The sequence below is a fragment of the Homo sapiens genome, chromosome 11, assembly GCF_000001405.40.
Source record: "Homo sapiens chromosome 11, GRCh38.p14 Primary Assembly".
NCBI classification, from domain to species: domain Eukaryota; kingdom Metazoa; phylum Chordata; class Mammalia; order Primates; family Hominidae; genus Homo; species Homo sapiens.
In genome coordinates this window covers 86,489,962-86,503,576 of record NC_000011.10, presented here as the reverse complement: position 1 = coordinate 86,503,576, position 13,615 = coordinate 86,489,962, and the positions used below count along the sequence as shown (strand labels likewise).

The 13,615-nt window shown below is 44.8% G+C and overlaps 1 protein-coding gene across 23 annotated transcripts in view, besides 2 other annotated features; it reads left to right on the top strand.

Annotated features, from left to right (window-relative positions):
• ME3 (malic enzyme 3) overlaps positions 1-13,615 on the top strand; it is a 237,687-nt gene that overhangs the window by 169,040 nt on the left and 55,032 nt on the right. For 20 of the 23 annotated variants that reach the window (NR_172888.1, NR_172889.1, NR_147828.2 and 17 more), the window contains one exon: positions 5,453-5,614. Coding sequence is in view for 10 of the 23 variants with exons in the window: in NM_001395868.1 (NP_001382797.1) it covers positions 5,453-5,614 (162 nt within the window). In the remaining 13 variants the exon portion in view is untranslated. Of the gene's footprint in view, positions 1-281; positions 383-514; positions 684-5,452; positions 5,615-13,615 lie in introns of those variants that run through there. The other 3 variants (NR_147831.2, XM_047426309.1, XM_017017137.2) reach the window with 2 other exon arrangements.
• Positions 4,999-5,600: an enhancer, noted in NCBI's record as "H3K27ac-H3K4me1 hESC enhancer chr11:86209019-86209620 (GRCh37/hg19 assembly coordinates)". NCBI's record gives its function as "activates a minimal SCP1, AML or CMV promoter by ChIP-STARR-seq in naive H9 embryonic stem cells {active_cell/tissue: H9 hESC(naive)}" and the evidence as "EXISTENCE:reporter gene assay evidence [ECO:0000049][PMID:30033119]".
• Positions 5,601-6,202: an enhancer, noted in NCBI's record as "H3K27ac-H3K4me1 hESC enhancer chr11:86208417-86209018 (GRCh37/hg19 assembly coordinates)". NCBI's record gives its function as "activates a minimal SCP1, AML or CMV promoter by ChIP-STARR-seq in naive H9 embryonic stem cells {active_cell/tissue: H9 hESC(naive)}" and the evidence as "EXISTENCE:reporter gene assay evidence [ECO:0000049][PMID:30033119]".

The window sequence follows — 13,615 nt, the reverse complement described above, 5'->3', positions numbered from 1 at the left end:
GTGGCAAGGAAGGAAACAGGATAGAGCAGAAGGAGAGGTTGGGCTGCCGTAAGATCTCAAGCAAGGCTCGCTGAGCCCCTGAGGAGGCTCTGGACCTGGGATGGCCCTTCAAATGCATCCAGAAGTGAGGCAGAGGAGTGGGTCTCTAGATTCCTATATGGGGCTGCCCTTGGAAGGAGGTGTGGCTTTGGGCAAGGTGGCTCTTTTCAGTAGAGGAAATTCCCCTAAGTGGGCTGATATCTGAGGATACAGCTGGGAAAATAACTCTTTCATTCCTGCAGGAGGATCTGGGCAGCACATCATCGTATCCACCTCATGCGGTATGATGCCAAGTGCTCTACATAGATTAACTCATTGGATTTTCATGGCAACCCTGTAAGAGGTAGGGACTATTGTTATCCCCATTTTATAGACAAGGAAGCTGAGAGGTTAGGTTCTTTGCAAGGGAGAAGTGGAACCAAGATTTGAAACTAAGAAGTGTGCATTATTTTTGCGGTAGAAAGAGAGAGAGGGAGAAGCAGAAGAAGAGGAGGAGGAGGATAAAAGGAAAGATGAGAAGGAAGGATGAAACAAAAGAGGAAGAAGAGGGTTGTATAAACAGCACTGTGGGCAACCCTTGTAGCTATGACCATAGCTACAAGTCCAAGGAAGCTCCAGAGCAAGCAAGGACATTTGATCCTCAGGTCAGTATTGGGTCAGTCCCATTGGGTCCACCCAAACTAAAGGGTGTGGGCAATAATTCAGAAAAGGCCTTAGGTCTGAGGCAGGTGGGCAAAGGAAGAATATGGCACAGCCTCCCCCAAACCTCCCCTGAGCCATCAGAGAGACAGGGGAGTTATGAATTATAAAACTCTTCCAAACAAGGAAAATGTGATTCTGTTGTTGTAGAAAAGTTTGCTTGGCTTTAAAGTTCAAGGATGCTGCCCAGGTTTGCCCTCAGCCTTTTGACAATTTGCAGAACTAGTGGCTCCCAGCGTAAGGTCCATTGATGTCACGAAAAACAGGGTGCAGTGTCTTCTCTCTGAACTTGTTAATCCACAGCAGGTCTGAACTCTGTTCAGCGCAGAAGACACTTTGTTTTCTCTGTTGGATCTATCACATTGCCCACCATTTGTGAGTGTGTATCACATTACAGACACCAAGTTAAGTGCTGATGAATCAAAGATGACACAACCCATTACTGGCCTTAGAAGAGCTTCAAGCTACTGTGAAGCACAAGGAAATGTACATAACTATAATACAAGGAAGGGAGTGATAGGTTTAGTAGGTGAGGAAAATGCTATGGGAATTCAGAGAAGGAAGTGATAAAATTCAGAAGGGAAGCTTCCTGGAGGGAAATGCTTTTTGAACTGTTCCTTGAAACATGCAAGGGTGGTAAGATTTGTATCAAGGAGATAAAGAAATTGAGAAGTAAAATGGCATGTATTCAAGAAAGTACAAGCCTTATACAAAATTGGAAATATTTCAGTTTGGATGGAGCATGGAAAGAATAAAGGGGAAATTCAAAGGGCAGCTTGGGCCTAGCCCATGGAAGGCTTTAAGTGCCAGTCTAAGATGTTTGGGTTTTATTTTACAGACATCAGGGACCATTAGAGATTTGGGGGCAAGAAAGTGATATATCTGGGCATGCTTCAGAAAAAATGAAATGGAATGGGGAAAATCCAGTAGAGAGACCAGTTAGGAGAACAGTGCAGTGGCTCAAGTGAAGATGGATGATCTGATCCGAGGCAGTAGCAATAATATGAAGATAATGGAACAGATGTTTAAAATAGGAAGCAGGCACAATCAGCAGAACTTGGTGACCAATTGGCTGTGGTTGACTAACAGAGAAGAATCAAAGAAGACTGGACGTTTTTGAACTTGGAAGATACAGGGTAACAGAGAGCAGGAGGACAGCAGAGTAAAAAGGCTCAAAAGGAGTAAGAGGGAAAAGAGGATTCATTTGGTTAGGGACTTGTGGGAATTGGGAAGACTATTGGACATTTGAGTAGCAATGTCCAGCAGACAGTTATCTACAGGTGTCATCTACTTAGAGAGGACAGTAGGAGCCATAACAATGGATGAGGATGCCAAGGTTAAAGCCATTAAGCTTCACATGGCCAGACTTTACTAAATGTTGCATTTGCCAAGGTCTCCCCTTGGTTTCTTTTTCATTCATTCATTTAACAGATAATTATTGCATGGTCTTTCTGTGTTAATGATAAACTGGAGAGATCAGAAATAATTTCAAAGTCTGAGATATAATCTTTGCCCTAAATAATCATCATCATTACAGTCATAAGAGCAGCAACCATTTATTCATCATTCTTACTTTATACAAGGCACCAGGTTAAAATGAGACATATTTTATTTCATCATTACAACAACCTGAGGAGTTAAGTATTATTATTATTATTATTATATGCATTTTATGGAGAATTGAAGCTCAGAATAGTTATCTATTTGTCTAAAATTACACATGGCACATCATCAAGGATCCTATATTCAAAAACTGGTTATCAGACTCCAAAGCACCTGCCATTAACCACAAAGGCTGTTTTGTGAGATAAAATGTGCATTTTAAAACAAAGTTAAATAACAACCCAGCTGCTTTCACCATCAAAGGTTTAAATAACACCTTGTGCGGGTCTTGGCAGGCAGTGGGTCCTTAATACACGCTTGTGAAAGGCAGGCAAGCAGACAGGAAGGGTGTGTGGTAGATATGGCAATTCAGGGGAAGGAGAAATTTCAGTAGATTATAATGGGCAGGATTTATGCTGCTGACGAATGGGGAGAAGAACCCTCCAGGAAAAAGGAATAGAGAGGTTGAGATGGAGAGGTGGTAGGCAAATTCAGAGTGTGCCTGGGAAGAATGAGAAGGCCAGCACAGCCAGAGAAGGCAATTGTGTACAGATGTATAGCAGGAGATAAGTTTCAGAAGGTCTGTTGGATTCAGATAATTAAAGAGTTAAGTATTTTGGACTCTATTCTATGGACAGTTCAAAGTAACTAAAGGTCTTTGAGCCTGGGAATGGCATAATGAAAATGGGCTTTTGACACAATGAATCTGACATTGGTTGGCAGGAGAGAATGGAAGGAAGGAAGATGAGAGGCAAGGAGTCTGGTTGTGAAACTGTTGGAATAACTCAACTATAACCATGGTAGGATTGCGGGTGGACAGTAGATGGAGGTGAGACACTCATTCAGAGGAGCTGGGCATGCAGTAGAGTGCCCTGGGGCATGTCCAGGCTGGGAGAGTGCCACTACAGAGCCCTGTCACCATCCTAGGGTTGTGGGGATAACAGCCTGGAGTAGCAGATTTCCTCTGTTTAACTTCATGTCACTCACTGCCCCTTCAGCACAGAGAAGGATTCTGACAGAATGGGAACCATAATAAGGAAGCTCTAATTAGGAGAGATGATAGAGAAATGCCCAGAGTTTGGACACCCAGAGGCAGCATGAGGGCATAGTCTCTAACAGGGAGATCTACCAAGAGGAGGTCAGATGCAGGCTGCAGAGAGGGTGGCGCCAAAGCAGGGCAGGACTTTGCCAAGATCACAGGCACTTTACCCCAGCCAGTTGGGGTGGTAGAAGGAGCCCTGAACCAGGAACCCTGCCCTGTCACATTCACTAGAAAGATGACCTTGCAAAGTCATCTAATCTTTTAAGATAACTGATGTGGAAACATCCAGCCAGTGCCAGGCATGTGGCCGACACTTAACAAATATATGGAGAAAATAAAGGTCTTGAGCTTCTGTTTGCTCACCGGTGAAGCAGAGATAACAATCTCAGATCCGCCTACCTGCCCAGGCTATGGGGAAGGTCACATGAGATGCAGTCTTTGAGCACTCTCCACAGAGGCAGTAGACCAATCTAAGGGAGAATATCATGATTTTCATGGATCTCTTGCACTCTCCAGAGACCCTTTTCCAGAAGCAGAGGAATGTTTTTAAGAATCTCTACACTTATTTCCACTAAAAGAGAAAGAATGGAAGTGAGAAGATCCCGTAGCCCTTTGGGTACCAGATCATAAACTCTTCCAGGGAAAGAATGGGTCTTCATCTCTTTACCCCCATTGCCCAGCAATGTACCTTCATGGATTTAACCAAACCCTATGGTGTTCATAGCCCATCAGGACATTTGTAGCCTAGAATGGATCCAAAGCCAGGTTCCAATGAAGGGATGAGGGACCTATAAACTTAACTCTTTTAGAGATAGAGATAGCTAGTGCTGGTGAGCAGGTGAGAGTGGCCTACAAACAACTTCACCGTTACCCTGAGGGGCTCTCCTTGGCTAGACATTCAAGGTCTTTCACAGTCTGACTCCTGCCTGACTTCCCATTTTTTCCCTTCCTGCAACCTACATCTCCTCGCTCCCCAAACACATCCTACATTGTCCCCACCCCCAGCACCTCTACCCTGGATTTTAACTTTCTTTTGTATCAAATGCCCTTCTCCCCACCCATACCCCACAATCTCCACCTGTCCAAGGTAGGGCATGTGTGTCCGTTCACCCATGAAGGGTTATCCTCCCATCTTCTAATCTCTGCCACCCTTTATGCTATTCTGCTGCAGTCCAGCTTCCCTCCCAGAATCATGATTATTAATATATACATTCCATCTCTCCTTTAGCCCATTAATCCTTTAAGGGCTGTGTCCATGCATATTTGCTTTTGTAGATGTGCAAACTGAAGCTCCCACAGAATTTGTCACAGTGTCTTATGCAAAGTAGGTGCTTCATAAATATGTATTAAATGAATGAATAAAAGAATATCCATTATAATAATACAATTATTCCTATCATCATCATCAGCTTCATTCATATCTATTAATTCACAGTAGGTAAGCCTTGAAGTAGCACTACATCTAGCACATAGTAGGCCCTCAGCAATTCTTTGCCAAATGCAAAAGGTAAATCCCAGTGTAGCTTGAAACTCTTCCTGATTTCATATGCAATAGTGATCCTAGAAGATGTCACAAGGAGCCCTGTTCTTTGCAGATCGGATTTTTCATAATCCAGGAGTAGGTCGGAGAGCACTTGGATTAGCCTCTAAACCCTGGAGCTGTAGCAGCAGCACGAACACGTATTTTTTATTTTCTCCTTTAATTATGCCCTTCCCTACCCACCACCCCGAGTCTCAGGCTGAGAGTGTCTATTTAGTTTCCTTGAGGGAGAGTGAAGTGACTTAATGTGGTTTCCCTCCAGCTGTTTCTGCAGCCCCCACCTGAAGCTCAGAATGCAAGGCAGGCATCTTTCTGCCATCTCTTCTCAGTAGGGTTTGTCACCAGCCTGCCAGGAAGGACTGGTCACCTGCAGGTGAATAAATGCTCCGGCCTTATCCCAGACAAGCTCTTTCACACCGGCAAAGTCAGTGGGCATCCAGTCGCCAAGCCTGATGGGCTGGGGCTGCTAAAATGAGCACCCTGTCACAGGAAGTGCTGTCCCTGATTGATGGTGCCCTGCTGTTTTTCAGGCCGTGGTGGTGACTGATGGGGAGCGCATCCTGGGCCTGGGAGACCTGGGCTGCTACGGCATGGGCATCCCTGTGGGCAAGCTGGCCCTGTACACGGCATGCGGAGGGGTGAACCCGCAGCAGTGCCTCCCTGTGCTGCTGGACGTCGGCACCAACAATGAGGTAACCCACTGCCCAGGGCAGGAGCTCTGGGGCCAAAAGGTGGCAACTGGGACAGGGTGAGGAGCATGTTTGTGGGTGGTTATATCTACACAGCAATGGGCCATTTCTTTCTTGGCATCCTCCCGACCAGGGCATTCCCCCTACACAGTTGTGGAGTAGAGGACCTTCTTCCCTGGTTGCCCACCCCTAGCTCCATCCTGTTCCCTCTCCCACTCCTGGGCCCCCTTGCTCCTCTACCTCCATGAGGCCCTCTGTACCCACAATGACCCCTGCTTGGGCTTCCTTCCTCTCTGACCCCCATTACCCCAGGCAGTTTCTATTTCCCTTGAGGTGGGTGTGACCACTGGGCTGTGTTTTTTAGCATTCTCAAGGCAGGCTGCCCCAGTGGAATGACTGGAATTCAAAGCACCAGGGGCCAAAATGTCTGAATCAGACAGATTAGTGTCCTGCAAACCCAGTGAGAGAAACTGAGCCAAGCGTAGGTGAGATCCAGCTGCAGGAGTCCTGGCAGTTTGTGGTTTAAGGAGCTCAGGCCCCAGCCAAGGGTTTCTCTGCTCTGGGAACCACCATGGGCATGTCTGTGACTCGCAGCTCTGTCTCTGTGTCAGAAAACATGAAAAAATATCCAAGGATTCCCTCTTAATTACATTTATCTTTGAGATCAGTGCATATTATTGAGGCCGGGCACAGTCACTCACGCCTGTGTTCCCAGCACTTTGGGAGGCTGATCGGGGCGGGATCACCTGAGGCCAGGAGTTTGAGACCAGCCTGACCAACATGGTGAAATCCCATCTGTACTAAAAATACAAAAATGAGCTAGGTGTGGTAGCACACACCTGTAATCCCAGCTACTGGGGAGGCTGAGACAGGAGAATCCCAGGAGAACCTGGGAGGCAGAGGTTGCAGTGAGCCGAGATCACACCACTGCACTCCAGCCTGGGTGACACAGCAAGACTCTGTCTCAAATAAATAAATAAATAGAGAAAATTCAGAGAAATGTTAAAAATAAGATATCAGCCACATAACAAGCACTAATCATTGTTTACATATTGGTATATTTCCCCAGCCTTTTTTTTTTCCACGCACTTATAAAATAAAAGTGGTGTTCTTATTATATATACAGTATTTTATATTTCTTTTTCAAATTTAATTATCTGTCATGAGTTTTCTTTCAGGCTATTAACCATTATTCCATAGTGTCGGTTTAATAGCTACCTGATGTATCATAATTTACATAAGAAAACCCCCACAGTTGGGCACTTAGGTTGTTTCTAGTCTTTTAAAATATAAATTGTGCTCTGGTACCCATTTTTGCAGATGAGTCTTTGTCCCTATCTCTGAGTATTTCCTTAGGATAAATTTCTAGAAGTAAGTATTGAAGCAAAAGGAATGGTCATTTTGTAAATTCTTGATTCACGGTGTCAAGAAGTTATTCTTATTTGCATTCTGCAGTGATTTCTCTTAAGAAAATTTGCCAAGACTCTTTACATGGCCTTCCTCTTCCCTAAACACAATGCATCCCCATTTCTTTTCTTTTCTTTTCTTTTCTTTTCTTTTGAGACAGACTCTCCCTCTGTTGCCCAGGCTGGAGTGCAGTGGCGTGATCTCGGCTCGCTGCAACCTCTGCTTCCCTGGTTCAAGCAATTCTCCTATCTCAGCCTCCTGAGTAGCTGGGATTACAGGCATGTGCTACCACGCTCAGCTAATTTTTGTATTTTTAGTCGAGATGGGGTTTCACCATGTTGGTCAGGCTGGTCTCAAACTCCTGACCTCAAGTGATCTGCCCGCCTCAGCCTCCCAAAGTGCTGAGATTGCAGACTTGAGCCACTGCACCCAGCCCAGGCATCCCCATTTCAAATAAAAGCAAGCACTTTAGATCCTAGTAAGGAATGATGCTTATTCAGGCTTCATCTGCAGATATGATCAAATGATGGAACGGTGGGCAGACCTTGCTTAACAGCTGGGAAATCCTGGGGGTGGGAATGAGATGAGGGAGAGCAAGAAAGTGGGAAAACTATTGGATTGGGACCTTGGTTCCCAGTACCATGACAAGCCAGGGACCTTGGTTCCAGTACCATGATGAGCCAGGTAAGTCATTGCACCTCCTTAGACTTAATTGCCTTTCAGTATATTGAGAGACTAGACCAGAAAGTTACTAAGCATCCTTCAACCTCTAAAACCACCTGGTCTCCATGTGTCTCCTCACCAGCTCAGGAGACAGGAGGTTAGATATGGATACATGCTTTACAGCTGCTCATCAAAACCAGTCTTCAAGTTTTGCTCTGCACAGCAATGCCCTTCCCCCAGCCAGATATCTGAGTTTTGCTGAAATTGTCTTTTGGCCTCAAAGAATGCTTCTTTGCAGGCGTGGATGAGCGCAGCAAACTTTGTTTTATTCTTCCTTTCCAACACCTCCTGCTGTGTTCCAGCTGGATTTAATTGAGACCTTCATTCCTTCTAAAAGCTGGCCTTAGGCAAGAATTGGAACAGATTGAGTTTGATTCTGAGGCCACTGCATCCACTGGAAGGGTGCTGTCTGCCCTGGTGCATTGGGATCCTTTGTCATTGAAGGTCCAGCACTCAGCAATGATATGCTGAAGTTTAGAGCTGGCTCTAACTTGTAACAAATCCACCAGAAAAAATGACTGGAAAGTAGCAGTAATTGTGGATCAGGCCCTTTTTATGGACCACTCAGTTTAAGCCTTGCAATAACCCTGTGAGTGGAGCATCTATCATTACCCTCTTTTTTACAGCATAGGAAACTGAGGCCCAGAGAGTTTTATTTGCCCAAGAAGATCTGCTAGAAGCGGCAGGGCTAGGAGCCGAATCCAAGTTTGTGCTCCTCTCCCCACATTACACCTGTGCCTAATTTCTGTTGCTTTATAAGTAAAGATTATTTCTTGATTTTTAGAATTTTTATTGCTAAAATGAATTTAGAACATTATTCAAAATTTTAAAGAAAAAGGAAATGGTATTTCTCCCACAATGTTGCATTTGTGTTTCTTTCCAAAATTTTTCTATGCCTATACATAAAGATAGTTATTACCTAGGTGTAATCATAATGTAATTTTGTTCTAATTTTTTCAATTAAGATTATTTTGTGAACACTTTGCCTTATTTAATAAAAGTTTATTGAGTGTTTAGTGGGTATCAGGCACCCTGCTGAGCCTGAGGGAGACAAATGAGGGTCAGCCTGAATAGAATGTTCTAGTTGTCAGTGTTTCAACACTGTCACCTAATTGGTCACTTTAATGAGTCGCGTGTCACATCTACTCAAAGCGTCTGCTTCTCCTTCTGGTGCTTTAGGCCTCTAGAATCACCTCTCCCTCCTGGATGTGGAGGGGAGAGAACCTTCCCTGGGTCTGATCCTTATGTCAGGGAGGGACCAGAGTACCCCTGTCTAGGAGGAGGGAACATGCCCTGATCTGCCCTCCTATGTGCCCCGGGGGTGAGAGGAAGCAGTTCCTCCCCAGTATATTATTCTCCCAATTTTCAGATAAGGAAACTGAGACTGAAACATGTCAACTACTTACCTCAGGTCCCACAGCTCTAAGTATCAGAGCTGGGATTGGAACCCAGCTGTCTGGCTCCACAGCTGCCTTGCCCACTGTGGTGCACTGCTCCAAGGGGTCAGGTGTTTGCATTATAGACTGGGAAATGGGGGCCGAGAATGAGTGTTTCACACAGGCAGGATCCCATGGACACTCAGGATCAAGTCAGAGGATAGCAATGCTGTTTACACCATCCTCCCCTCCAGGGAATGGTGGGCCCCCTCCAGACCCACTTGAAGAAACTCAGGACACAAAATTTTCAAAGTTATAAAGTGACCAACATTAGGAAGATGGTGATTTTTCTCTTTTCAAATGGATTCACTATGTGATCTCCCAACTACAGTTCCTTTTTTTTTTTTCAATGAAACCGTTTGCAAGATATTCCCCCCAGAAGTCCCAGGGCACACCTTTTGCTCAGAGCAAGCCTGAGATGTAACAGAGGGAAGCTTGGCCTTCTACACTTTTATCTCACATGTCCGTGCAGGGAGGATGCTGTCATGAGGGTTTTTAATGTCAGAATAACTTGACCATCTGTGTGTATGTATGTCTCTATAAAAACTCCTGAGGCAACAGGAGCTTTAATCACAGTCAAAGACAACACCCCTCCAGGTTTCCTGTTGAAGGAAAACATCTGCTGTCCACAGCCCTGAAACTCTGCATCACTTTTACCTGCCAATACCAAGGAGATTTGGAAAAATAAATATGTGGCGCCATGATCCCATGAAGAAGGGACATCCCATGATTAAGTTCCAAGTGGGTAGGGGAAGGGAGCGCCTGCTCAGCCTTCCATCATGGCTACGTGTGGATTGGATTTATTTTGTTTCATCCACATGCAGCCAGTCACAGACTATTCAGGTTAGAAGGGGCCTGAGTACCATCTCGTTCAACCCCCTTGTTTTACATGGGAAACGAGGCTCAGAGCAGAAAGCGCTTCCCCAAGGTTTGACTCGAAACCCAGTGGTTATCCCACCCTGTGCTAAGGCAGGGTGGGGGAATCCCGGGGGATGGAGCTTGGCTTTAAAATGACCCTGCTGAGCCTTGGAGATCTTCTCTTGGCAGAAGTCTTGAGCCTCTATGAATTCAACTCAGAAGGAGATGCTGTGTGCTCTTCTGGAACTGAAGAATGGGTGGAGGGAGGGGAGTCATGTTTGGTTAGGGAAACAAACATGGGAGCAGATCATTAGCAGAGCCTGGTAAATAGTGCTTTGGATGTTATTGGATCGCCAAGGAAGCATGGAGTTGACAACCAAGCTGGGTATTGCAGGGTTTCTTCTACCTTGCAAGATTATCATTATTCAGCATTCACCATGTGGTGCCATCATAGAGCTCACTCTCTACACACGTGTAACCCATGAGGATGCCCTTGCTAGGATCTTTGTATCTTACCCCAGGCTTAGCTGAGTTTCCCAAGGAATGAGTGGTAGGTGGGACTGCCACTGTGAGGAGAAAGCGTGCTGTGCCCACAGCGTGAACCCAATCCCGTGACCTCCCAGACCCCCAGGTTCCCTAAGTAACATCACAGAATGCCTGTTGCTATGCAAGATAAATATTTTTTCAACCAGGAGGTTTATCTGTCTTCCAGCTGAAATCCAGTGCTCACTGATATGGGCAGTGAAGAGGAGGAAACCATTTCTTTTTCCATGACATTTTGTCTCCAAGAAAAACCTTACGGGAGGCAGAGCTGGGCAAACAGCCATAGAGAGCACATTCAACCCTCTAACTCCCACAGCAGAGGAGAAAGTTCTGCTTCACCCACTTTGAATAAAGGCCTTCACCTAAAATTATAATCATTGACTTACTTGGTTCCAAAGGGGACTTAGTAACTATCTAACAGAGGGGAAAGATTTAGTCACTCAATATTTAGGTGCCAGGCACCCACTGAACACTAAAGTATGGAAGTGAATAAGCCTGGTCCCCACCCTGGGAAGAGTCCTGGTCTAGAAACCATGATTTCTGCCTTGTTGTTTCCACAAATGTGTTTTGTGACTTTGGGCAGCTCATTTATTCTTTCCAACCTTCAAAAACTCATTTGGAGGAAGCAGAACCAAGTGATTTCTAAGACCTTCTTAATTTTTAATTCAGCATCTCCTTAGCCCAGTCCCAGGACTCTGCAATCATATCACTAAATGCTTCTCAAGGGCTTATGTGTGCCATCACTGTACAATTAGCTGGGGAGATGCGGATGAATGAGGAGCTCAAAGAGCTTGCATTGTGTGATAGAAATCATTATTCCCTATTTAACAGAGAGCAGAAAAAAGTTAAATACCTTCCCCAAAGCCACAGAGCTAGTCAAGTGACAAAGCCTCAATTCAAACCCAGGTCTATCTGATTTGAAAGCCTAGAGCCCCTTTGGGCCCTACTGAGGATGCTCAGAGGGGAGCATCCTGACCACAGCCACCAGGACCAGCAGTGTCCTTTCCCCTGCGGCACGTTGCCTCCAAACTTGAAGATTCCTCTGCCTCTGTAGATAGGGTTACCAGATTTAGCAAATAAAAATACAGGACACCAGTGACATTTAAATTTCAGAGAAGCAATTCAACATTTTTTAGCATAAGTGTGTTCCATGTAATACATGGGTCACACTTAATTCTAAACATTTCTTTTTAATTATTGCCTATCTGAAATTCAAATTTAACTGGGCATCCTGTATTTTATCTGGCAATACTGTCTGCTGAAATCTTCTCCTCTAAACACCTATGAAGAAGTCCAGACAGAGGAGGACTGCAAGGAGGGGGTCCAGGCAGGTTACTACTCCTACCCCTTGCTGTCAGGCATTCTTATATCTGAATCAGTTGGCGGATACAGGGCAGAATGTGGGCTTCTTGTTCCATGTTGTGCCAAGTCAGCCATAGGAGCTCTGCCCACTACTGTTTTAGAGAAGCCATTTCCACTCCTGCTAAAGGAGAACCAGTTGACTAGAGATGTATACACAGCCTTTCCTCTGAACTCATTCCAGCTCTCCCCGTTCCCCAGCCCGGTCTGCAAGTCAAGAGTCTGGACCTTCCCAGCCACAATTGACCTCCTCCAGGAGGACCCGGCAGAGGGTGAGGAGCTGCCCCTTGGCTCCCTGGTTCCCTGGCCCCCACAATATCAAGTGATGGGACGAAGAGGATGCTTCGTCATGAGACCCAGTCAAAGCTCAATCTCAGGGTAGCTACTTTCTGGCTCTGTGAGCTTGGGCAGTTTATTTAAACCCTTGAACTCCAACTTCCTCTAAAATGGGATGAGAAGAGGTCAGACTATTAGAAGGAACAAATGAGTGAATTACTTGAAAGCTCTATACAAACATAAGAATCTATTTTTTAACGTCATATCCATATGGGAACTTTTTTTCATTTTTTGTGGTTAAAGTATCTGAGACATAGAACATTTTATTAGGAAAGCAAAATATAAGGACTTTTTAAAAGCTTTTTATAGTCACCCTTGTATCTCAGCAGTATCTCATTATGGTTGACCTTTGATCTTTACTGCAGTATACTGAGAAATTTTTTGAAAATCTAAAAATCCCTTAGTGCCACTGGGGAACTTAACTTACCCCAGAAACTGCATATGCAGGATTGAGAAATTCACTCTATGCTGCTTGATGCACTAAGATTCAAATCTGTGACTTGGCAACATTCCAAATTATAACTCACCATGGACCCTTTTAATCTTTGTAAGAACTGCCAAAGTGAATGTTTTCTGCCAATGCCAAGAGTAACACTATTTTCAGTCATTTTTATGTATGTCCTTCCAAGCTCTGTATGTATGTGCTTCAGAGAGTTATAATTATGATATCTGTGTAATTTTGTATCCTGTTTTCTCCACTTTAAATAGTCTCTTACAAATTTGTCCAGGTGACTGCAAAGTCTTAAAACCACCAATTTTAATTACTGCCTAGCTATTCATCATGTTACTCTACTATCATTTATCATTTCTTCTTTCTGGCTGTTTGATGCTTCTAAGTGACCTTTGATGGTCACTTTGAAGGTAGCATGTGGAAGGGTAGGCACCATGTATGCACCACTTTCACCCTTTAGGTCCCCCCTACTGACACACACACGCACACACCCCTATCAGTGAAGAATCCTAAACAGTTTCAAGGGTGTCCAATCCAGGGGATTAGGAGAGTGAGAGAGGAGGCCAGGACCCACCATCTTTCTAAATGTAAACCTGTGGTATCTTTGACAAAGTGCTAAACCCAGCTCAGATCTTACGTGTACCCAGGCCTTGGGGTGAAGGGTTAACAGATAATTCCTGTTCTTTTCTGTCCCTTAAACTACACCCTCCCCCACACCTAATACAGTGATATGAAAGCAGTATGGACCCAGAACAGTGTCCTTAAAAAGAAAAATTGATTCTTGTTGGTATGCAGAAGAGCCACCCATGCAGCATGACTGAGTGCTTAAGACCACAGACTCTGGACCCAACAGCCCAGCTTTGAATCCTGACTCCTGCACTTACGAGTCCA